Source organism: Homo sapiens, chromosome 4 (genome assembly GCF_000001405.40).
Source record: "Homo sapiens chromosome 4, GRCh38.p14 Primary Assembly".
Lineage (NCBI taxonomy): Eukaryota > Metazoa > Chordata > Mammalia > Primates > Hominidae > Homo > Homo sapiens.
In genome coordinates, this window is record NC_000004.12 from 39,030,569 (window position 1) to 39,056,887 (window position 26,319).

General features: G+C 41.1%; 2 protein-coding genes across 34 annotated transcripts in view, besides 2 other annotated features; one reads left to right on the forward strand and one right to left on the reverse strand.

The window, feature by feature from the left end:
* Window positions 1-1,841, reverse strand: part of TMEM156 (transmembrane protein 156) — a 65,666-nt gene extending 63,825 nt beyond the window's left edge. For 13 of the 14 annotated variants that reach the window (XM_047416190.1, XM_011513753.3, NM_001303228.2 and 10 more), the window contains exon 1: window positions 1,658-1,841. In XM_047416190.1, the coding sequence (XP_047272146.1) occupies window positions 1,658-1,745 (88 nt within the window). In that variant the 5' untranslated portion in view covers window positions 1,746-1,841. Of the gene's footprint in view, window positions 1-859; window positions 926-1,657 lie in introns of all 14 variants that reach the window. The other variant, XM_047416193.1, reaches the window with a different exon arrangement.
* Window positions 6,359-6,888: an enhancer, noted in NCBI's record as "H3K27ac-H3K4me1 hESC enhancer chr4:39038547-39039076 (GRCh37/hg19 assembly coordinates)". NCBI's record gives its function as "activates a minimal SCP1, AML or CMV promoter by ChIP-STARR-seq in primed H9 embryonic stem cells {active_cell/tissue: H9 hESC(primed)}" and the evidence as "EXISTENCE:reporter gene assay evidence [ECO:0000049][PMID:30033119]".
* Window positions 14,039-14,768: a silencer, noted in NCBI's record as "silent region_15366". NCBI's record gives its function as "represses an Ori minimal core promoter by ATAC-STARR-seq in GM12878 lymphoblastoid cells {active_cell/tissue: GM12878}" and the evidence as "EXISTENCE:reporter gene assay evidence [ECO:0000049][PMID:35858748]".
* Window positions 14,259-26,319, forward strand: part of KLHL5 (kelch like family member 5) — a 98,275-nt gene continuing 86,214 nt past the window's right edge. For 18 of the 20 annotated variants that reach the window (XM_047415749.1, XM_047415750.1, XM_017008276.2 and 15 more), the window contains 1 exon segment: window positions 14,263-14,528. In XM_047415749.1, coding sequence (XP_047271705.1) covers window positions 14,383-14,528 — 146 coding nt within the window. In that variant the 5' untranslated portion in view covers window positions 14,263-14,382. 20 annotated transcript variants of the gene reach the window in all.

The window sequence follows — 26,319 nt, forward strand, 5'->3', positions numbered from 1 at the left end:
AAAGAACTACATGTCTGCCCCAAAATGAAAACCTTTAACATGCTCCTGTAGTCACCAGTTCTCATAAAATACTAACCAATAGTTAATTAAGTCATTTTTGGGATGATTACCTGGTTTTTATTAGATCCAACCTGATTTTTAAGAGGTGCTAGGTGTAGATCGATAGCTAGCTAGCTAGCTAGATAGATATATAGATAGAACCTACTCCGGATAACTATTAAATGAGCTTACTCTCAGCCCACAATATCTTAAAAATAGATTATCTTTATTCTAACTATTCTCTTTATAACACATTTTCACCCAGTGGAATCAAGCACTGAAAATATGTGCTATGATTGCTTCATCTAAGTAACATAATGCCAGAAAACCAAATTGTAGTCATAGTGTTTATTTAGCAAAAATATTTTTAACTCGCTACTTAGCATCATGTAAATGCAACATCAAATAATCACTGAAATATGTCATCAAATATAATTAGCAAAAATATTTTTATCTGGCTATTTAGCATTACATATATGCAACAATAAATATTCATTGCAGCAAATAATCAAATATGAGTTTTTCTCTGATTTTAATCAAATTCATATAAAGACTATTTAATGATAGAATACAGCCTTTTCTTTTCACCTTTTCTTCTTATTAAATGCTAGGGAGCACAATTACCATTTGAACCTCACATTAATAAATTTTCAAGTCCTTTGCTAACATCAAAATAGTTTAAATTTATACCTATTTATTTTCCTAATCTAGGTTTCAGCAATTATATCACAATTTTCTGAAACGTTCACAAAGTTAATTTTGTTCCATTTTTCTCCAGTTACAAATACATACACATACATCTGTTTAAATTTCCACTCACCTTATTTTGATTGTATTTTCAAAATATATAAACGCTTTTTCTTGTCAAAAGGTGACGGTAAGTTATCTGTGTGAAATAGTTGTAGTAAAGGGAATTCTAGCATTTTTAACACAATAAATATCACTTTCTTCATTAAAGAATTCCAAAATGTAAAAAGCATACTTAAAGCTGCTTTGGGCCAGGCACAGTGGCACAAGCCTGTAATCTCAGCATTTTGGGAGGCCGAGGTGGGTGGATCACAAGGTCAGGAGTTCAAGACCAGTTTGGCCAACATGGTGAAACCGTGTCTCTACTAAAAATACAAAAATTAGCCAGGCATGGTGGTGGGCGCCTGTAATCCCAGCTACTCGGAGGCTGAGGCAGGAGAATTGCTTGAATCCGGCAGGCAGAGGTTGCAGTGAGCCAAGATTAGGCCATTGCACTCCAGCCTGAGCGACAGAGACTCCATCTCAAAAAAAAAAAATAAAAAATAAAAAAATAAAAAAAAACTGCTTTGAAGAAAGTGTTTCAAAGAGCAAAATCATGATGCAATTATTGTAATCTCAATGTCTGAAATCTAGACTACAGATTTTAAATATTTTCATTTTTAGGTATGCTATGATAATTAAGTACTATGAATTAGGTTACTGTACTATATAACAGTCAACTAAAATTGCAATCTTGTTTTATTAGTTTTTCAGATCTAGAACTTCAGCCTATGCAGCATGTGTCCAAAAAGAGGATCTTTTCTGTAACCACTAGCTGACACTAATTTTTTTAAATTAAGAAAGGAAAGCTAGATTACAATTATATACTCACCTTTCGGTGTCTTGAAATATTCCGGCAAAATTAAAATGAATGTGATCACTATTGCCACAAATAATTTAAGGAGGGCTGTTTTTGTCATGTCTCTTCACATGACACAAATGTGTTCCCTTGCAGTACATTCATGGTATGTTGCTTCCTGCTTTAAGTTTATCTCTGCAGCACTTTAGGTTAATGCAGTTCACCTCATACTCACTTCCTTTTGAGTAAGACTTAAAAAAAAAAAAAGGTCTTGAACTGAGACTTCACTTTTGAGTCACTTCCCATTAAAAAAAAAAACTACCCCCCAAATAAGCACTTTCAGACCATTTATTTGTCTTTCTAAGCAAGAAAGGTAAATAAATGATCTCAAGAAGCAAGGGGATCTTCTCCCCACCCAATTTATAAATATAAACCCACAGTATACTCACAAAAATAAAACGGTGGGCTGGGCGAAGTGGCTCACATCTGTAATCCCAGCACTTTGGGAGGCCAAGGCAGAAGGATCACTTGAGTTCAGGAGTTTGAGTCCAGACTGGTCAATAGAGCAAGCCCTCCTCTCTACAAAAATAATTTTAATATAGCTAGGTGTGGTGGTGCACTCCTGTAGTCCCAGCTACTCAGGAAGCTGAGGATCACTTGAACCCAGAAATTTGAGACTGCAGTGAGCCATGACAGGCCACTGCACTCCAGCCTGGGTGACAGAGTGAGATCCCTTCTCAAGAGAGAAAGAAATAAAAGGGTGAATGTCAGTCATGTCTAGGTTGCATGCACATGACTCATTCATTTACTTATTAAATGATTGTCGATCCTGTTTGGTGCCAGGTGCTGTGCTGAATTCTGGTGTTCAGAAAATAGTACATCTAGAAGATAGAAACATTTTAACCATTGCCAATTTAAAAGGAAAAAAAAGTATTGTTTAATTTGCATTTGTTTGGTTGACAGTAATTCTAAAGATTTTTAATATTTGCTGGCAATTTGAATTTCTTTTGTTAATTGCATGTTCATGTCTTTTATTGCAGCATTTATATCCTTCCTGTTGATCTATAAGACTTTTTTCTCTATTGGGAATATGAAATCTTTGCATATGTTTTGCAAACATTTTTCCCAGGTTGTCATTTGCCTTTTCATTTTGTATATGGTGGGAGTTTTTCCACCCAACTATTTTGTAACAGAGTATAAAACACGTACCTAAAAGTTTTATGCAGAGAAACACAGTTCTTCATTGTATTTCTAATATTACACGAAATAATGTATAGTTTATCAATTTAATCATTTATTCTTTTGTTTTTGTTTTTTGTTTTTTGAAACGGAGTCTCAATCTGTCTCCAGGCTGGAGTGCAGTGGTGCAATCTTGGCTCACTGCAACCTCTGCCTCCCAGATCCAAGTGATCCTCCTGCCTCAGCCTCCTGAGTAGCTGAGACTACAGGCATGCACCACCACGCCCAGCTAATGTTTTGTATTTTTAGTAGAGACGGGGTTTCACCATGTTAGCCAGGATGGTCTCGATCTATTGACCTCGTGATCTGCCCACCTCAGCCTCCCAAAGTGCTGCAGTTACAGGCGTGAGCCACCAAGCCCGGTCTCATTTATTCTTAAATACAAAGTTTACTTGCAGCCTGATTTTGGCTTCCTGAAATGCACCAAAACTCGGTCATCTCCCTTGAAGTGGCAACATCTGACTCTCTAACATCCTGTTAGGGTTGATGATAATACTAATGGCCCACATCTCCATAGTTTTGTTTTACAATTTCCAAAGCACTTTTACAAATATTAGATTATTTTTTAAAAACACAAATATTAGATTATAAAGGGGATTCTAGGAACTGCTAGAAATGGCTACAAATCTGCAATTACTTACCCACTGCAAGCTTCTCCTTCCTATTTCAATGAAGGAATAAGAGATTAACGAATCTCAAACACAAGAGGTTGTTGCTACTACGCTAGTGTTTAACTTTCCTAAGTCTTATATTTCATATCTGAGATCCAGGTTCTCAAAAATACTTTAATGTGTTTCTATTTCTAATCAAGACCAAACGTCTTAATTAAATAATTATGCATTCTGTGTTAGATACAAATGTTTAAAATTGAGAGGATCTTTTATATCAAGGAGGTGCTCTACCCTAGGAAAGCAAAAGCAATATACTTTTTAGAAAATTATAAATAGCAGCCTTAAAAAGGATAGTTTAAATTTAACTTCTACATATTTATTAATATACGAAATATACGCTTTTATATACTTTATATGAGTAATTTTTTTTCCTAGTTGAAACTGTCCTCTATCCCTTCACTATATTCTGTGGAAAGGTCTTTATTGGATCAACAGCAGCAGCAACAATCGATGGCATTTACTGAACATTTACTATGTGCTACTGCAGTGTTGAATGTTTTGTATGAATTATTTTATCCAATTCCCCAGCAACTCTCTCAGGGAGTTGCTGTTATTCCAATTGGATAGACAAAGAATATGGGGTATAGCGAAGTCAAGTAAGGGCTCAAAAGTCACATAGTTAATAAAGGGTGAAGCTAGGTGTCAAACCTAACTCTCAACCCAACACTCCATTATACCTCCACTGTCAGACTGTGTGGGAACATTTGTCAAGAAGGGCCACTTATAAAATAATAATCATAGCAAACACCAATACAGTTTTTACTATGTGCCTGATGCTGCACTAACCCAGGGTTTCTCACTGGTGGCACTATTGATATTTTGGGACAGGTCATTCTGTGTTGTGCGGGATATCCTGTACATTGTAGGATGTTCAACAGCTGGTTCCAGTAGCAGCCCTCTCCACCCCAGTTTTTATTTTTTTAATTAAAAAAAACAAAATTAAAAGACAGGGTCTCTATCACTTATGCTGGAGTGCACTGGCATGATCACGGCTCACTGTAGCCTCGAACTCCCAGGCCCAAGCAATCCTCCCACCTCAGCCTCCTGAATAGTTGGGACGATAAGCATGTGCCACCGGGCTTGGCTAATTTTAAATTTTTGTAGAGATGGGGCCTCACTATATTACCCAGGCTGGTCTCAAACCCCTGGCCTCAAGCAATCATCCCACCTCAACCTCCCAAAGCGCTGAGATTATAGGCATGAACACCACACCTGGCCTCCCCGCCCCAGTTTTGACAAACAAAAGAAAAAAAATGTTTCCAGATATTGTCAGATGTCCCTGGGGTGACAAAACAGCTCCCAGCTGAGAACCACTGCATGAAACGCTTCACTTATATTAGATCATTTAAAAAATTTTTTTTTATTTCCATAGATTTTTGGGGAACAGGTTATATGAGTAAGTTCTTTAGTGGTGATTTGTGAAATTTTGGTGCACCCATCATCTGAGCAGTAAACACTGAACCTAATTTGTAACATTTAATTGTTGTAACCACCTTATGAAATAGTTACTATCATTATTTCCATGTTAGTCACTTCAGGCCAGTTCTATTCTAGGTAACCTAATCAGCCAGAAAGTAAACTTAAAAGACAATCCATAACCTGGATCAGCCTAACTACTTATCTTTCTTTTCTTTTTTTTATTTTTGAGACAGGGTCTCGCTCTTTTGCCCAGGCTGGAGTGCAGTGGCACAAGCAAGGCTCACTGCAGCCTCAACCTCCTGGGCTCAAGCAATCCTCCCAACTCGGCTTCCTGAGTAGCTGAGACTACAGGCACACATCACCAGGCCCAGCTAATTTTTGTATTTTTTATTTTGTATTTATTTTGTATTTGTATTTGTATTTTAGAGAAGGGGTTTCGCCATGTTGGCCAGGCTGGTCTCAAGCTCCTAGGCGCAAGTGATCCACTCAGCCTCCCAAAATGCTGGGATTACAGGCGTGAGCCACCGCTCTTGGCCCCTAATTACCCCTAATTGTGTTACTGGCAGATAATCATCTACTTTGGCAACACAGCAATTCTTAGATTAACACATTTTTGTGGGGAAAAATAATCTCTTTTTAACAAGGTCTACCTGAGTATGGAGAGGGTCCCCGGAAATTCCAGTATCCTCATTCATTTTGTGGTCCATTCAAAAAATATTTACCCAACACTAACAAGACACTAGGCAGCGTCCTGAACGCTGGAGATCTAGCAGCAAGCACGCAAGGTTCTCACGCTCACATTCTAGTGAGAGCGTACATTCCAATGAGAGAGAGTAATTAAGTAAATAATAATTTATTTTCAGTTATTGTGGGTGTCCTGAAAAAAAAATCGGGCAAAGTATGAGGGTGAGATGTGCCAGCAGAAAGTTGGGCAGGGCACATGTTGGTTTAAATAAGGATGTTAATGAAGGCCTTGTCATTAATACAACACTTGGGAAAAGGCAAAACCACAGAGACAGAAAATAGATCAGTGGTTGCCAGAGGCTGGAGACAGAGGGAGGGGTTAATGACAAAGGGACATAAGGGAATTTTTAGGGTGATGGAAATGTTCTATATCTTGATTATGGTGGTGATTATACAACTGTGTGTTAGTCAAAATTCTAGACCTGTACCCTGAAAAAGATGTACATCATTTACTGTATATAAATTATAATTTAATAAACATAATTCTGTCTCTCTCCACTCACACAGCCTGTTTGCTATTTTAGAAACAGATAATTAAGAAAGGGGCTGTGGTGTCTCTGAGGCTGGCGGCTCTCCCCTGGGCTGGAGCTTGAACTTAATAGAGCAGAAATCTAGAGAGAACCTCTGAGCAGGCCAACAGGAGACAGCAGTGGTACCTTCAGTGGCTGTGGCAAGGTTGCGGCAAAGAACTCCATGACATGAGTGCACACAGGAGGTCACCCCTTCAACAGCCAGGTTGAGTCAGCCCCTCAGAGAACCGGAAAAGGTGCTCAGCACTGCTCAGACCCCAGGCTGCGGGTCACTGAGCTGCCTTATCTTTGTTCACTCAGTGCATTTCTTTTTTATCATTATTATTTTGTTTTTTTTGAGATGGAGTTTCGCTCTTGTTGCAGTGAGCGTGATCTCAGCTCCCTGCAACCTCCGCCTTCCAGGTTCAGGTGATTCTCCTGCCTCAGCCTCCGGAGTAGCTGGGATTACAGGCGTGCGCCACCACGCCTGGCTAATTTTTGTATTTTTAGTAGAGACGGGGTTTCATCATGTGGGCCAGGCTGGTCTTAAACTCCTGACCTCAGGTGATCCACCTGCCTCGGCCTCCCAAAGTGCTGGGATTACAGGCATGAGCCACTGCGCCTGGCCCACTCAGTGCATTTCTCCTGTAAGTGGGGAAATATGGTTTGACCTGCCACCACCGGGTTTAGAATCCTCAGTGGGCAGAGTTTGCCCCAGGCCCTCACACTCAGGCCTCCTGAGACGTGGCTGGTCTTCTCATGCGCAGCCCACACAGGGCTGCTTGGCCCATTGTGTCCTGACCCCAATCACCTGTGGCTGGAAAGGCAGTTTGTTTTCACTAACAAAACCCCCTGCACTGAGACTGCAGCTTAGACAGGAAAGAACCTGTTGGAGCCTCTTTCCTCAAAAGAACTATGAGTCAGGCTTGTCTGCCCAGCTGTATACTCACAGAGTTGCGGGGACAAGGAGGGAAAACCACCCTGGAATGGATTCTGGAACCACTGTGGTATATTTCAGCCTCTGGAAACAAAGTCTGGCAACCGAACCACAGAATTCATTATATTGTTAATTACATGCATAAACAGGCAGGAAAGCATAACCAAAACATTCTTCATGATGGTAAATATAACAACCATTGAATATGTACGAGATAAAGTAAAATAAATTGCTCAGAGTCTGAAAGTATCAGGCCTAATAGATCCAGTCTCAGATAAAAAGAACTGGCTGCAACAAGAGAGCCCGTCCGACTCTAAGTAATACCATTTCTTGGTTTTCTTGGGGATAGAGCAGAGGAGAATGAAATGCTTGGTTTTGTTTTTTTTTGTCTGTTTGTTTTTTTCTTCCTTCTTTGTATTGCTTAGCCCGTTGACTCTGAATGTCTTCAAATGTGTACAGAGAGTGCCACCCTCTATTCACTCACTGTTTGTGTATTTCAGGTCAGCTGCTTGTTACTTAGCTAGAATCTTTCCCCAAGAATTCTGTGCTAAGTATAGTCACTGAATATAGAATGCAGGTGTGAATACAGGAATATGTGCTTTTACAAAGATGAACAAGATGGAGCTAGAAGAAGCTTAATAGTTGATAAGAACTTTGCAGTTTACATATCTGATTCATCTTTATTCATTCTCTCCCTCATAACAAGTAGCAGTGTTTTCTATGCTGTAGCCCTCTTTATAATATTTGGTAAATATTTTGTGATTTCTGTACACAAACTGTCAGCACAGTAACAAACCTAAATGCTTAAACTTGTATAGCGGTTATGAACTTATTCTCTCACAACATGAAAACAGAAGTCAGATTGAGTAGTTCCATTCTGTTAGTGAATCAGGAAGTAATATATCAAATACAAAGATTCATCCTGGAACTTTTTTTTTTTTTTTAGACGGAGTCTCCCTGTGTCGCCCAGGCTGGAGTGCAGTGGCACGATCTCGGCTCACTGCAAGCTCCTCCTCCTGGGTTCACACCATTCTCCTCCCTCCACACCATTCTCCTGCCTCAGCCTCCCGAGCAGCTGGGACTACAGGCACCCGCCACCATGCCTGGCTAATTTTTTTTTTTTGTATTTTTAGTACAGAAGGGGTTTCACTGTGTTAGTCAGGATGGTCTCGATCTCCTGACCTCATGATCCACCCACCTTGGCCTCCCAAAGTGCTGGGATTACAGGCATGAGCCACCGCGCCCGGCCCATCCTGGAACATTTTTAACTCATGAGACATCAACATCAATTAGTAGTCTTGCAACTGTTATTTTCAAAATGTAAAATAATTATATAGAGATGCTGAAATAATTTTTTAATACATGAAAGTATGAAATAATTTTTTCAATGCATGGAAATAAATACAAGAACTTTGTGTTCATAACCTTGTCCTTGTAAGTTTCTGAAATCCTAAGTTAATGACCTTCTAAAGTTTAATGAAACTCGTAGTAAAACACTATAGAGGAAAGGTCCTGTCTGTATATGTTATAACACTCAGTGGAAAAATGGCCATACTCAAGTAAGTTTTTGTTTGTAAAGGCTTCATATGCAGGGGGAGGGTGGATTTCATTCATTCATTCATTCATTCACTCATTCATTCAGAAATATTTCTGAGTGCCTGCCATCAAAGACCTCTCAGCTAGTCAAGGAGATAGACAACTAAGCCAATATTCACAGCCCATTGAGTAACTGCTACAATGAAAGGGGCATCCAGTGTACTTTGGGGGTACGAAGAAGGAACTCGTTCAGCTTGGAAAGTTCAGGATAAAGATCACCAGAGGAGGTGACCCTGGAGCTGAGTCTTGAGGGCTAGCAGATATTGGAAAGCAGGGTATTTCAGAAGGAGGAAACTTATTTAAAAGCACAGCTGTGGGATAAATGATATGTTCTCGATGCTGCAAATAGTTCAGAATGGACATAGGGCTAAATAGGTAGATAGGGGTTAGATTACAAAGGACCTTACAACAATGCTAAGGTGTTTGAACTTTACTTTTAAAGCAATAGTCACTAAAGCATGTTAAACACGGTCCTGAGGGATGAACAGAATTAAATTTGTATTTGAGAAAGGTTAAGGAGACTGACAGGAAGTACGGAAAGTCTTTTTGCAAAGACCTTTTTATTCAGTCAGTAACTATGGCCTGGTTACAGGAGACCTACTTGTAAATGGGTGAATGGAAATACTTGCATGAGAGAATGCACATTCCTTCCCCATGTCCCCAACGCTGTGTTGGGCAGTTCTTTCGGGAATGCTCTGGGGACTGCAAGGAGTGGCCTGACAGTGGGCCGGTGATGACCTTCCCAACACGTGTAAAGAGTGAGTCTCACCTGAAGAAGCAGCTCATATATTAGGACAGTCACCATAGTCCCGCAGTTTGACCCGGACTATGCCATATCCCTCTAACCAGAAGAATGGGGACAGAGGACAAGTGGGGCTTTTAGTCTTGGCTGTGACTGGGACAGGCTTGTGGCGGCCATGTGAAAGACAGAAAAGTGGGCCAGGCATGATGGCCCATGCCTGTAATCTCAACACTTCGGGAGGCTGAGGAGGATCACTTGAGCCTGGGAGTTTGAGACCAGCCTAGGCAGCATAGTAAGACTCCATCTCTACAAAATAAATAAATAAAATTAGCCGGCATGGTGGCTTGTAGTCCCAGCTACTCGGGAGGCTGAGGTGGGAGGATCGTGCCACCGCACTCCAGCCTGGGTGACACAGCAGGACCCTGTCTAAAAAGAAAAAAAATAATAAGACAGAAAAATGACCTTACTGTGCAGAGAAAGAAAGAGAGCCTAGAGGGAAGGAAACTAGGCAGGTTGCCTGCAAATTTATATCTCCCCTTGGGGATGGAAGTTTGTTCCTGGAAGAATGTAAATGGAGAAGAGAAGCTGAGCAAATGAATAAAGTTATCGGTGTTGCTTATATTTTCCATAATATAGTAATAATTTCATTTTTATTCTCCTTTAGATTTTAGCAAAGTTCACTTAGAAATTCTAGATTGGTTTAGCTGTGGTGAAGAGAGCTGAGGCTGGGCGTGGTGGCCCATGCCTGTAATCCCAGCACTTTGGGAGGCCGAGGCGGGCAGATCACGAGGTCAGAAGATAGAGACCATTCTGACCAACATGGTGAAAACCCGCCTCTACTAAAATACAAAAAGTTAGCTGGACATGGTTGTGCAGGCCTGTAGTCCCAGCTACTCAGGAGGCTGAGGCAGGGGAATCACTTGATCCCAGGAGGTGGAGGTTGCAGTGAGCCGAGATCATGCCACTGCACTCCAGTCTAGCAACAAAGCAAGACTCCATCTCAAAAAAAAAAAAAAAAAAAAAAAAGCTAAGGAAATTCTCTTTCTTGTCTTTTCTTTTTTTCTTTTTTTGTATTTGGGCCAAATTGACAGGTGAACCAAGAGAAACCAGAGTGAGAATATAAGGTAAACTTCAAGGGACACACTTTTAGTTGGATTTACTTGGCCACCTTTCTCTCCTGATTTGGAGATTTGCTTCCCAGGGGTACGATCTGGTCATATTTATATAGCTCTCTATTTTAATGAGACTGATTCCACAGGAGGCTGTTCATGTCAGAACTTGGAGAGCAGAAATACTACTAAAAGAACTCCTAAGTCCTCTAAAAAAGATCACATTCCTGGGATCCAGATTTTGAACATATATACTGTATATAATCATAGTTTAATCTTTTAATCCTCCCCACCCACACACCCAGTAGGCAGAGTACAAAATGAAAAATCAAACCGTTTCTTTATTAAGCGCATTTACATACTAGGGTTAAGTTCTCTTTACTATGTATTGGTATTACACTTTAACCAGACTAAAACATTGTTAACCTCATCATCATAATTATCAATTAAAATTATTTAAGCATTCACAAAAGACATCCTACTGACATCATGTATCAAATTATCAGTAGAGTTGTCAAATTTTCTGATTATGGCTGTGTTTCCTCTCATGGAAAATTATTAAGACTTTCACAGCATGTATTGATCCATCATACCCCTCTGATTCTATGGATCCATTTATGGGCAAAGTTATAAGATCTCAGCGTAAATTCTTAGCTGTGAATGCTTCTTCAAATCCTGTTCCTTAGTATTGCCAGAATGAGAGATAAAATGCCTTTTCAAATTCTACGTTTTTTTTCTTTTGAGATGGAATCTTGCTCTGTCTCCCAGGCTGGAGTGCAGTGGCTCAACCTCAGTTCACTGCAACCTCTCCCACCCAGGTTCAAGCAATCCTCCTGCCTCAGCCTCCCAAGTAGCTGAGATTACAGGCATCCATCACCACGCCCAGCTAATTTTTGTACTTTTGGTAGAGGTGGGGTTTCACCGTGTTGCCCAGGCTGGTCTCAAGCTCCTGACCTCAAGTGATCCACCCACCTGGGCCTCCCAAAATGCTGGGATTACCCGCATGAGCCACCGCTTCCGGCCAAATTCTACTTTTAAATAAGGTAAATGTGGGCTGTGTTTTAGACCTTATTAATACATCTAAGTCACATGATTCAGTTATAAGATAAATTGCACGAAAGCTGTTTGGCCACTACAAAAGGAATACGAGCTATCTCTCCTATTTGGATTCATTAATTCATTCAAAAAATATTTGTTGATTATCTACTATATGACAGATGTGGTGAATAATAGGCACTGGAGATTTAAAAGTAACAAAACAAAGCTCTGCTCTCATGAAGTTTACATTCCAGTGGGAGCATAGAGATAAATAAACAGATGTATATGTCAGGTGGTGCTCAGTGCTGAGAAGTGAGGAGTTGGGGGGCGGGTTACAGGTTTACATGGATAGTCAGGAAAAGTGACATGATGGAGGAGGGAGTTAGCTGTGAGAACAGCTAAGAGCCTGCTAGACAGAGGAACATGTGAAGGCTGCATGGGCAAGCACTTGGCCTGTTGGCAGAAGAGGAAGGAATCCAGTGTCTGGGAGTAGCATGAGAGCCCATGGAGGCAGCCAGATCACAGGGGATGTTTTATTTAATTGTTTTTACTGGGCTGATGGAGCAAATGAGCTGAAAATACAGATCAGTAAATAAAATAAGTTTCAGGATAGAACAAACAATATATTTCACCAGGAAAAATAAAAGATCATGTATGGGAATGCCTATTTCTTTCTTTCTTTATTATTATTATTATTATTATTTAGATGGAGTCTCACTCTGTCACCAGGCTGGAGTGCAATGGCACAATCTTGGCTCACCGCAGTCTCCACCTCCCTGGTTCAAGTGATTCCCCTGCCTCAGCCTCCCGAGTAGCTGGGATTACAGGCACGTGCCACCATAACCAGCTAATTTTTATATTTTTAGTAGAGACGGGGTTTCACCATGTTGGCCAGAATGGTCTCGGATCTCCTGACCTCGTGATCCACCTGCCTTGGCCTCCCAAAGTGCTGGGATTACAGGCATTAGTCACCACGCCTGGCCGGGAATGCCTATTTCTTAAATCAGGAATTTTTACTGCAATTGTTATCTGATTAGATTGCAATGCTTTTCTAGTCTTTCTCATTATAAACCTGAAAGAAAAATGCTGAACTAAAAATCCAAGACTGAACAAGTAACTATGAGCAGGGAAGAAAAAAAAAACAACTATGAGAAGAATGTCATTGCGGTTAATGTACACAAAGGTAAACACTGAAAAATCCAATAAGGGCTGAAACGTAGTACCAAATTCCAAAAATTCAAGCAGTGGGTTTGTTTACACAATTGTCTTTTGTGTTTAAAAACAAAGTTACTGAGGTCATTTTTATCTATGGGCGTAGGTGTCATGGCACAGGAGGTGGAGGGTGTCTCTTCCACATAGCTCCGATAAAAAATGTATCCTGTACTTTGTGGTTGGAACCCTCCTTGGGAGAGTTTGTGATGTATCTTCTTCCTGACTGTAACAATCTTAAATTGTCCCATCCGCTTCCCTTTGAACTAGCTGTCCATGTGAGTACTTCATTCTTTTACATCATATTGTTTTTTCCTAACCACTTCCCCAAGTGGAAGTGCACAAAACATCCCTAAATAGATCTCCCAGCCACCCCAGGCTACCACAATTTGGTTATGTTATTTGATTATCAGTCTTCTGGACCACTTGCTTTGCTTGCATTGGGTTTTTATTACGGAGACAAACTGAAGAGCTCCTGAACAAATGTCATCTGGGGGGGAATGACCACATTCAACCATCACGGACGGAGAGCATACAGCTAACTCAGAGTAGCAAACACTAATCTACGAATAATGAACATAGGCATTATTTTAAGAACCAAAAGAAAGCACGTGGGCATTTGGTTTACACATCACTCAGAGACAAAGTAAGGAAATCCCTCCCTTCCTAATGCATCATGAGCTACGGGGGGCAGGGACCATAGCTGTTTTGCTCAAACCTGATGATGAATTAATATGTAAAGTACTTTAGTGTTTTCATAAGGCGCCAAATAAATTAGTTGTTATTCTCACGACCTAGCATATAGGAGTTCAATGTTGGGTAGAGGAATGAATAAAGAACCTACTTTTTCTGATTCTTATTATTCCACCACTGGAAAACAATGATTATGGTCACAGTGCTGAGGATCATAATTTCGATGCCACAAACCCACCACCTAGAGCACACTAATTATCAGATTATTGCAAGGGGAATGGTTACTGAGGCTGGAGAAGGGAGGCGAGTCTTAGTGAGTTCCCTTTAAGCTCTGAGACAACAGAGGCCGCCTCTCTCACGGCCTTCCAGCCCTGCAGAGGGACCTCTTCCTAACTTCCACCCCCAGGAATTCCCCTAACCCCAGTTTCAAGGGGCGGGGAACAACCAGAATCTTTGTCAGGTCCTCTACGCCACGCCCCCTCCTCGCCAGAGCCCCGCCCAGCCTGACGTCCCCTTCCCCCACTAGCTCCTCTTGCCACAGACGCTCCCGTTCCCCCACCCCCTTCCCCGGCTCGGGCCGTCCCCACGCCGCGCAGGAGAGCAAAGAAACCCCCGGCGGGGCAGTGGCGGCCGCGGCCTCTCCGGGCGCGCGACCCGGCGAGGGGGCGGGGCCTGGCGGGAGGGGGCGGGGCGGGCAGCCGACTGCGCCGCGCCGGGACTGACGGGCTAACCGGTCCCCTACCCCCACCTACTCGCCCGCCCCCTCCGGGGCCACCCGGGGACTCTGACCCCCCGGCCTGGCGCCGCCTGACGGAGCGGGAGTGGCTCGCTCCGGGCCGGCCGGCGCCGGGGATGAGGCTGCCCGGACAGGGTCTAGGGGCGCGCGAGGGGCCGAGCATCCCACTCAGCTCGCCGGCCCCGGCCCCCGCCTCCCCCGCTCCTCCCGCCTGGCCGCCCCGGCCCGCCGTGACCCACGGCCGCCTCCGGAGCCCGACGCGGTAAGTGCGACTTCCTTCTCGGCATCGGGGAGGGGGCCGCCTCGGGCAGGGCCCGCTTCCCGCCCCCACGCGACTCTCACGCCCCGCTGCGGCCTCCCGGAGCGCGCGGGGCGCGAAGACGCTGCCCCTCCCGGAGGCGGCTGCGAGGCCCTCGGGTCCGGAGGGGCTGGGCCGGGCGGGGGCCTCCGCACACCGCGCCCGGGGCTCGAACCCCGGCCCGGCCTCCCCGCTGCGCACCCCCGAGCGCCGGAGCCGGCGCCCGGGCCGCCCTGGAGTTGTGGAAAGTTGTGGACGCGGTGCTGGTGGCCGGCAGTGAGGAGCGGACTGCGGTGCACCCGTTGCTGCTTTCCCGGACTGTCCCTGCCAATAAAACAAACTGGAAACCATTTCGGATTTTTTTTTTCCTCTCCTTATTACTTGCAGGCAATTTTGACCTAAGTTTTTAAGCTTTTCTTTTAAATAATACCCTCGCCCCCGGAGTGTGGAGAATAAGACGGGGACTTCATTTTCCCGAGACCCGGCGTGCCTGGTGAAACTTTTGCATTTAGGCATTTATTTCAGTGCATGCTCTGGGATCAGAAGCTGGCGGTAAAAGTTTGCTATGTCAGAGAGTAAAGCGTTACTGTCGTTTTTTATCGCTTCATTTCATTTTCAAAAATATTCTTCAGTAGTCGACAAGTTCACAGAATTCAAAAGGTACAAAAGGGGCAGACAGGCTCACCCCACCCACCCCTGCACCCTCCCAATATTCTGTTTCTGGTGTCTTCTTCCAGAGGTTAGATGTGCGGATGCCCCTCCTGCTTGCTTTGAAAAATGAGCTGCTGTTATGTGCCTGGCATCTGCTGGTGCTAAATAAATGTTGATTCTCCTTCCTGTTAGGAAACAGTTTAATAACTCTTTTTGGTTATTAGACCTCTGGCGGCAAAAAACCAATCATGACTTTTTTTTTTTTTTCTGGTTTTCAGCATTTACAGATTTGACTGCATTGTGAATGTGTATGTCCTATTGGCTTGTTATGACTTATGTGAATACTTTTACACAAAGATGAATACACTGACGTTGTTGGGTAATTGGGCAGGGAGGGCAGAATCAACATGAAATTGTAAGAAGATGCAATATGTACAATATATAGTTCCAGAAACTATATATTTGAAGCAATCTAGCGACCATGTAGTACCATAGGATAAAACAAACTAAATGGGAAAATTGAGGTAGAGCAGGAAAAGAAGAACACAAAGTCAAGAAAAAAGATAATACCAAGTTCCTATTTAAAAGATCCTGTACTAGAGATGAGTCACAGTTTGGGCCTTGGGCTTCCTGGGAGCTAGGTAAAAAGAGAAAAAGGAACAACATAAGTTTCAGCCTGTTTTGTCTGGGCGCGGTGACTAACGCTTGTGATTCCAGCCCTTTGGGAGGCCGTGGCGAGCGGATCGCTTGAGCTCAGGGGTTCAAGACCAGCCTGGGCAACATAGTGAGACCCCTGCTTGAAAAGATAAAATAAAATAACAAAGTTTCATTTTGTTTCTAATTCCAAGATTAGAAACAAACCAGTTCTGCCCTAACCAAGGCGTTTTCCAGTAATGAGGCCTGAGAGGCGTATTTTCCTCCTGGGCCCTAATGAAAAAAGGAGATATGGGATGCAGTTGACAATATCTTTAAAACGCCCCTAAGGAAAATAGTGAATTTTGCACGACAGTGTTTTTCAATATAGGAGAGTGATAAAACTGTTAATAAGTTTTCTGAAGGAGTGGAGTCACTTGATCCATTTATAACATTTAGAATGATCTAGAACAGTATTTCCCAAACTGTGTTCTAAGGAATGAGAAAATATTTCCTTTCTTGCAACAAGATTCTGAGCTCAAGTAAGTTTGAGATAACTAGATTAGAAAATTGGTTTTACTACAGAATTTCTTGGAGATTTACTATACTAATGTTCAAGTTGCTGTTTTAAAGCGGGATGTATTTTGTAATATTTTCCAAATCTATATGACTATGTAACACAAATTGAGGACCACTGAACCTAGAAAAATAGATGAATTAGCTGGGCACGGTGGCTCACGCCTGTAATTCCAGCACTTTGGGAGGCCAAGGTAGGTGGATCACTTGAGGTCAGGAGTTCAAGACCACCCTGGCCAACACAGTTAAACCCCGTCTCTACTAAAAATACAAAAATTAGCCGGGAGTGGTGCCACGTACCTGTAGTCCCAGCTACTAAGGAGGCTGAAGGAGGAGAATCGCTTGAACCTGAGAGGTGGAGGTTGCAGTGAGCTGAGATGGTGCCACTGCACTCCAGCCTGGGCAACAGAGTGAGACTCCATCTCAAAAAATAAAAAAAGATGAGTTATCTATTCTTCAGGCAGTTCTTCATTAGTATTTCTTACAACTGAGGTTTAATGAGAATTGGAAAGCAAAGAGTTGAAGTTAGCCAATTTGTTAAGGACCAAAGTGAAGATAATCTAAAAGTCGGCATTTTAACATACTGTATAGCAAAGGAGAACACTACTTTCCCCCGAATTCTTTCACATTTCTTCATTGTTCTGCAAGTTGCCTGTTGAAGGACCTCTAGGGCACCTTCTTCTGTGCTTCAGGGTACTTAGTGTCTATGAATTAGACTAGGCATAGGCAAGTTGAAGTCCTTGAGGAATGACTTTATTCTTGGATGTAAATATGGGATTGACATTTTTTATCACAAACACTATTTGTACTGTTAATTTACTGTCAAATCATAAGCATTCCATAGCTATGAGAAACCTAAGAGAACACAGTACAGAGTGGAAAGAGCGAAGATTTGAAGCCAGAAAGTCTGGGATTGTGTCACTGCTGTATGTGCAGGGTTGTTTCCAGCCGGTTGATGAACCTCCCTGAATCTATTTCCTTATTTGTAAAATTAGAATGATGAGAGCACATAAATTCATTTATGGAATAAATGTTGAGAATCTACTGGGTACTGGGTAGTAGAAAAACAGCTTTAAGAGAACAAATGAAATAATGTATCAAGAATCCTTCACTGTCTAAATTTATTCCATTCCTGAGTGCAGGTGGCAAGAGTATGGAAGGCAAGGAATTGCACCTATCCAAATGTATTTGGTTCCAGAGTTCGAGATGGCAAGTACAGAGAGTTGAGAGAATGAGGTGTTGGTCCAAAAATTTATCAGAATCCATTCGGTTCTTGTGTTCGGATGATGAGTTTGGATAATGAGGGGCACTTCCATTCCAAAGTATTCTCCAAATGATAGTGCTATACAAAATGATACCATTCTGAAAATAGAGGGCCAGAGCTGTTCATTGCTTCACTCCATTTATGAGAAAGGGGTTTGCTGAGTATACCAGGCAGGATAGATTATGCTGTGGTAACAAAAGAACTCTCACATCCTGTTGATTTTAAACAGCAAAGATTTTTTTCTGTTATACTACATGCTGAAGCAGGTCAGCAAGAGAACTCCATTACAAATGGTCAGTCTCAGGCTGTTGGAGGCTGTATCTCAACACATGCTTCCGCAGTTGTTAGGACAGGGAAAAGGATGTGGTGATTTTACATTGGCTTTTTTTTTTTTTTTTTTTTTGGAGATGAAGTTTCACTCTTGTTGCCCAGGCTGGAGTTCAATGGCATGATCTCAGCTCACTGCAACTTCTGCCTTCCAGTTTCAAGTGATTCTCCTGCCTCAGCCTCCCGAGTAGGTGGGATTACAGGCGCCCACCACCATGCCTGGCTAATTTTTGTATTTGTAGTAGAGACGGGGTTTCATCATGTTGACCAGCCTGATCTCCAACTCCTGACCTCATGATCCACCTGCCTCAGCCTCCCAAAGTGCTGGGATTACAGGTGTGAACCACCGCGCCTGGTGTACATTGGCTCTTCAGGGCTTCTGTCTGGAAGTGACACTTAACTTCCACTGCTATTTCATTGGCCAAAAGTCACTTGACTACACCCAACTTCAAGGAGATGGGGAAATGCATTTCTACCATGTGCCCAGAAAGAGGAGAACTGGAATAGTCTGTGAACGGTCTTAATGACTACTAAAGAGGCTTCAGAGTCCCATGAGCTAACACAGAATCTAAATAAATCAAAAGCCAAATATGTCAGTACAGTATTCTATTTAGAAAATAGAAAACAGCATTTCTTTGTGTATGTGAGTGTGTTTAAACAGAATTATGCTAATGAGAATTATGAAGAATGTCTTTTATTAGTTTGAAATGAAATGCTTTTGAGAACTTCACAATTAAGTTTGTTATTTTGGCCAAATGAATTTCATTCTTTTTAAATTGTATGTCCATTCAATAAACATTTGTTGAATGTGTATAAGGGGCCAGGTGTAGTGGCTCAAGACTGTGCAGTCCCAGCACTTTGGGAGGCCAAGGTGGGAGGATTCTTCAGTCCAGGAGTTTTGAGACCAATCTGGACAACGTAGTGAGACCCTATGCCTACAAAAAATAAATAAAATTAGCTGGGTGTAGTGGCATGTGTCTCCAGTCCGAGCTTCCTTGGGGGCGGGGGTAGGGAGGTGAGATGATTGATCATTTGTGCTTGGCAGGTCAAGGCTGCAGTGAGCCATGATCAGGCCACTGCCCTCCAACCTACGGGACAGCAAGACCTTGTCTCAAAAATAAATAAATAAAAAATAAATAAATAAATAAATAAATGAAAGTGTATAAGGCACTGTGTTAGGCCTGTGAGGATAAAAAGATAAATGAGGGTCGGGCATAGTGGCTCACGCTTTTAATCCCAGCACTTTGGTAGGCTCAGGTGGGCAGATCACCTGAGGTCAGGAGTTCGAGACCAGCCTGGCCAACATGGTGAAACCACATCTCTACTAAAATTACAAAAAATATTAGCTGGGCATCATGGTGCACGCCTGTAATCCCAGCTACTCCAGAGGCTGAGGCAGGAGAATCGCTTGAACCCGGGAAGCAGAGGTTGCGGTAAGCTGACATCACGCCACTGCACTTCATCCTGGGCGACAGAGTGAGACTCCATCCCAAAAATAAATAAATAAATAAGTGGGGAGTTTACAATCACAATAGAAAATAGCTATACTTGAGTTTTCTCTCCCTTTCTCTTTAAGGCATCATTTACAGTATGTAAATGATGTGTATACACACATATATAAAATAGTGAAAAATACTAAATATATAAACTGTTACACTTTGTTCCTCTCTGCCTTTTTGGACTTAAGGAGTATTTCATGACAAATTAAACAATGTTACTTAAATTAGCATAAGCAAAAGAAATGTTATGTTAGAAAAGGAATATAGTTTGTATCAGAGTCCAAGGGCAAGAAGTACAGCTGGGCCTCAAAGCAACTGGCACCAATAACAGAAAGCTAGGAGCTAGGGCTACTTTCTCTCTCTCCAAGTCTATATGATTTCTTGCTAGTGTCTCTCTCTGCACATGTATTTCTTTCTTCTTTTTCTCTATTGATTAATTTTTCTCTATTTTGCTGTTACATGGATGTTTTAATCTAAGAGTTTATGAACTTGAAACTAGAGGCTTTAACAATTTCAGACAATCTAAAAATGTTTAAGTGCATTGTCTTTGTAAGCTCTTAACCACCAGACTTAGGAAATAATGCAGTTGACTCTAAGGTATAACAAATTAGTGTAATTGACAACTTTATAGTAGAGAAAGAGGCAGTTATAATAGCTTTCAATCAAAGAAACCGAGGTGCCATGGAAAGTTCTACACAATTAACATGAGCTTGCAAATTCTAGTGAGACAGGCTGATTATGATAATCAGGATAAGAAGGTATAACTGGATCTGACTTAAGTAACTACGATATTCCCTCCCTGAACACTGGCAAATGCCATCTCCATTGTAATCCTTTCATCCATCCCTTCTTCCTCTCCCAGGGTAAGGATTGACTGAATTGTCTAACTCTTATAAGTCATCTGCTTTGATCCTGATACAGAGCTTCCTGGCTTCTCCTCATGGGTAATAATGCAGGAAGAACGGCACATGTAATATACTACCTAGCTCTGCTCTTTTCTTCCATCCAAACTGGTCTCCTAGACACTCTTTATCTGGACATTTTACATTTTAACATGCTATTATCATATCTCTTCACCAATTTAATCTAATTTTATTCTCAATAAATTTCTATCATTTTCTGTTAGACTCGTGTATGTAGCTTCACTAGCAGAATTCCCTTGCATTTTCAAACTACGCGATAATCTCCTTTCTTCCTGTTTGAAAAATATCCATAGCTTCACCTCATCAGTGGCCGAAGAGATTAACTATGGGGAGATGGTATATGTTACCTGAAGAGGATTTCCCAGAAAAAAAAAAAAAACAAGAATATGAGTAAAAGCTGTGTATGAGATTAGATTCAGGTTGTAGAATATCTGGAATGTCATATTAAGACTCTTAGACACTTGTTTCTGTGCAAATGAAGGGGTTTTCTTGGGTTTAACTAAACTTCAAATTCAGAAAGCTTGTTTACTCAGAAGGCTATCAGACAGGAATCATAGTTTGCCAGCAGGGCAGCATCAAATGTTCCTCCTCAGTGGGAGTGATTTTCACAGCAGTCCACGCAGGCAGCTCATAGCCATCTGGGCAGCACCTCAGAGGAAGCTCACACTAGGTGGTGCAGGAGCTGCCTTGGCTTAAAAAAAGAAAAAACAAACAAACAAACAAACAAACCAGGTCCCACAGGAGCCAGTGTCTCTTACACAACTCCATAGACTGAGTTTCCAGGGTTCTGTAAAAGCTATGCTAATTAAAAGAGCCATCACAGGGAAGTCAAAGCTATAGCTTCCTTATGAGGTATTTATGGTTCATTTATAGTTCTTGAGTCTTGATGCAAATTTACTAATCACAGGGATCATTTTTACTACAAGTAGTGTTACCTAATAACAGTTGAGGTACCTAGTTTTACAGATGGCCAGGGAACAGAGCCAAAAGAGTTAACTGAAGCTTAACTCTACTCATACTTGTATTATCTGCAGTGCCTTTCATTAAGAAGTATTCCATAATATTTCTTTTGCTTATTTTGATGTAGTGTTTTTACTCTTTTTAAATTTATTATTATTGTTATTATTATTTTTGAGACAGAGACTCGCTCTGTCACCTGGGCTGGAGTGTGGTGGTGTGATCTTGGCTCACTGCAACCTCCGCCTCTCAGGTTCAAGTGATACTCCTGCCTCAGCCTCCCGAGTAGCAGAGATTACAGGTGCCTGCTACCACGCCCAGCTAATTTTTTGTATTTTTACTAGAGATGGGGTTTCACTATTGGCCAGGCTGGTCTTGAACTCCTGACCTCATGATCTGCTCCCCTCAGCCTCCCCAGAGGGCTGCGGATCACAGGTATGAGCCACCACACCTGGCCCATTTACTCTTTTTTATAATGGAGAAAGTGAAATAAGTTGAGAGGAAGGTGAGCCTGGAAAGGCAGGCAAAGACTACTAGATCATTAAAAATCCTGAATTCCATGCTAAAGATCTTAGCTTTTATTTATCTTGTAGCTGATCAAAAACAAACAAAAGTAAATGTTTTAAGTAGAGTGATGTAGTCAAGAATTGCACTTTAGAAGGCTACTTTGGCGATAGCATGGAGAATAAGAGAGGATTTAGACTTGAAGTTGGTTGGTTCATTTCTACTTAATATTTGCCTTTCTTTGGGGAGCTATTTCTCTGATAAGCAGAAAGAAGGAATACTCAAGTCCGTGCTCCGCAGGAGTTTAGAATTGATGGCCTGGTTTCTGCATGGTTCTTTGGAGAGGCCTGAATCAGTTTGTCCTAAATTTATTTGTCATCTCCTTCCCCCCATTGGAGTTTGGGAGGACTACTCTGAAGTGCCTCCTAAGAACATTGGATTTAATCTAATGCATGATTAACACTAAGAAATTCTAGCCTCGACTGATCTCCACTAATCTCCATTTGACCACTAACATCCTCATTTTGCTTTTTGCTGAAGTTAAATTATTGAACAGGTTATTGGTGGCTTTTCTTTGGGTCTAGTTTTAGGGCAAGCTAGGCAGTTTCTTTAATGGTTAACTGGTTTAATTAACATTTGTAGTGATTAACCATTTCTAATTATGAGCAGTTGAGAAATAGTGCTTCACATTTTCTCCTCTTTATTGCTTTCACTGCCCATTACTACCCTTTCCCTACCTGACTTATGCTGTTCTAACAAAAATAGATAATTTACAAAATCTGGATTGGTCCTACAGCAGAATCAAGTTGATCTGTGATTGGCTCATTATGTGATCAGAGAGCCCAGGCAACTTTAATTGATTATACTTGTGTCTGGAGAGTACTGATTCATTATTTTTCAGAAAAAATTTTTTTTAATCTCCATCACCATAAAGCTACGTGAAAGACAGAAACACTTCTGGATTTGGTTGAAGTCAGTAAAAGACAAATTTGTGGTTATCCAGATTGTTACTTTTTATGGCACATAAGATAATTGGGTGTCTCAGCACATGCCAACTGTAATGGATCAGGCAAGAATTTAGCAGTGGTTTTCCATCATTTTTTTAATGATATTACAGTTTTCTTCCTTGTGCACAGCAAATATGTGCTTAACACTGACAAAAATCTAAGGAGTGGATAGCAAGGGAACCTTGTGTTTTACCAGTCATCAAGCTGAAGGAATGTTTTCAAAAGTAACGATTTTGTTATATCATAGTAGTATCAGCTGTAATAACTTTTACAGGTGAGCTTAAAATAAAGGCTATATAATATTAATTTAGCTGAGTTTTAAAATGTCCCTTGCTTTACTACCAGGTATCAGTACTGATAGGTAGTTGTGGAATAAAACGATTCTTTTGATGTTACTGTGGGCCAGTACTTTGTAAGAAACAGCAGCAGCAATTGGGAGGGAGCTAAGTAGGGAGAAATCTGTGAGGCACTTGTACTTGGTGAATAAATGTCATTTTGGCATTTAACTGCAGTTACGATGAACTTAATTTAAGTTTCTTCTTATTTAAGAAATCATGTGTTCCTTAAGTATTCTGTTCCCCCTCCCCGCTGCCTTTTGTGCCTTACTTGCTTTTAGTTTGGTCAGATATTATCGGCAAAGAATTTGTCTGTTCTGCTACTCTCTACTAGACATCTAACCTTGTCCAAGTCAACTATACTCTCAATCTACTTCCTCATTTGCACAACTACTCTACCTGCCTCACAAGGTATTTTTGAGTAGTGAATGAGAATACTTCTTGCTTTGAAAGCAAGAAGCACTGTGGTGTATTCGAAAGTATATGGTTTTTAGGGTCCATCCTGGACCCTGCCACTCACCAGATATAGGTATTAAGTCAGGTTAATTAATCTCACTTCAGTATCTTCATCTATAAGGAGTGGTGGGCTGGGGGCAGGAATGACCCCTGTTGGACAGAGTTTTTCTGACAACAAAATGCCCCAGTCAGTGTAAAGTATTTTATATATTATTGTGCTCATTTGGGCACTTAAGAGATAGTAGCTGCTGCTATAAATCCTGACCGTTACTCAATACTTAGATGTGCCACTTACTTAATCCTATTACTGAAGAGAGAACTGAAGACAAAGGAGGTGAAGTGATTTGCCCAAATTATACAGCTAGCTGGTGAGTGGCTTAGCTGTTGACTCAGGCTCTTTCTGCTGTGTCACTTAGGCTACCATTAATAAGTGATAATGTGGGAAAATAACAGCAGAAGCGCTCTCCACCAACTGCTTCTGAACTGACTTACAGCTCTAACTTGAGGCACACTCTTCTGCTGTAAAATGTACTTACTGATAGCATGGGCCAACTGAACACTCATGGGTAAGCAGGCAGCTCCATAGCTGACCTGTACATCTCTGCTTACTCGTTGAATTGAGTACTTACCAGAAGTTGGTTCTGTTTATTCACAAACCTGTTTTTAACAGTTATACTTGTTATAGTAATTATAAAACATTAGTAAACATGTAAATTGATGAAAGTGTAAAGAAAAGATAATTCTTCCTATGAAAATTAAGTTGAATGCTTTGGGATGCCTCTATATAAATGAGTTATTTTAAAAATTCTATCAAGTTGGATAAAGGCTGGATAATTCTAAGAGACTAGGGAAAAAGTCATCAAAGTCTAAAGCAGGGCCTGTCAAAGGCCATCAACCAGCTACCTGGTCTTCAGACTACTAGGGGTCCTCAAGAATATAAGGAGTGCACATTAGAATATTAATTAACTACATTAGGCAAACTAATGCACACTGGTTCAGCAAATGTTTTGTTTTCATGGTGAGACTTTCTCCTTGAAGAAAGCGATGCATTAATTTACAATCTGGCACAAGTTTTTCCTGTGGTGGACAGACCACTGGTCTAATGGATTCTGTATTCATATTATTTCAGAAGTGCTTTTAAGTTCTGTTTCCATTTATAGAAACCATAAGTGGAAATCATAGATGATGGATCATTGTGGGTACAGCTTATGCAAGACAAAGGACCCAAACTCAGTAGGAGACCCCTATCAAATATATGGCATTAACCCTATATGAAAAGATTTACAAATGAATGTGCATGTATATGTTCAAGTTAAAATAACATCTTTAAAGGAATGTATTTATTATTTTTATGATTATTGACTTTTTTCTTTAGTGGACCATCTACAGGTTTCATCTGAAAAGGGGGCTTTCACTGTACTCAGAGTTCCAGGTTGACTGGAAATAAATCTTTGACCTCTGCAGCTGTCTAAGCTTGCCTTGCTATATCTTAGCTTATCATATGCATTCTGTGTGTATCTTCGTCATGCTGTATTATAATTTTTAAATTTAATGTCAGTTCCTGCATTGTACGTGATATGGTAAAGGGACATAGTTTAGTTTAAAGGTTAAAGTTTACTCCATTTACTTTTTTTGCCTTGATTTTTTTCCTCTTGATCTTCCCTCGTATACTTATAGGTATATATTACAGTGATTTATTTAGGATACACAAAGAAATAAAATCCCTATATTACATGGCTTTTACCATGAAGTCATCTTCAGTTTTCAGCATATATCAAAGTCCTTGACTGCTTAGTTTTCAGTCTACCATGTGGTTTGTAGAGCCAGATGTCTTGGTATAATACAACTGAATTTAAATTGTGTGTGTGTATGTGTATTGTGTCAATCTTGCCCTGTTGCCCGAGCAGCCGTGCAATGGCACAGTCTTGGTTCACTGCAGCCTCCACTTCCCAGGTTCAAGTGATCCTCCTGCCTCAGCCTCCTGAATAGCTGGAACTACACTGCATCCGACTAATTTTTGTATTTTTGTAGAGATGGGGTTTCACCATGTTGGCCAGGCTGGTCTCGAATTCCTGACCTCAAGTGATCCACCCTCAGGGGTGCTGGGATTATAGGCATGAGCCACTGCACCCGGCCTGAATTTAAATTTGACATTTTAAAATTTTCATTTACCAATTAAATTAGAAGTATTTCCCAGTTGTTTTTAACAAAGTGAAAGATTTAACATGGTGCTAGAAATCTTAGTTTTGAATTTCAAACTATAAGTTTTTTTAATTACAGAAGAAATTTTGGTGCCATGTGTTTGTGGTATCGAGTGAATAGAATACAAACATAACCAAAGATAACCAGTGTTAACCCAGGGCTCACTTGTTCACACTTTAAATTTCCGGTTTCTTAAATAGATTAATTTTTGGCTCTAGAGTCCTATCCTAGCTGTTTGATTGCTTGATATATAATTAAAACCAAACATGTCTAAAGCCTCACTCAATCCTCCTGAAACAATATCCTTACCTCCTTACTTATGTTAATTTTAGTGTTCTTCTTCCAGTCACTCAAATTTGAAAATGCTGTCATCTTTGACTTTTTCCTCTCCATTTGCCACAGCCATCCTATAAGGTCTCTG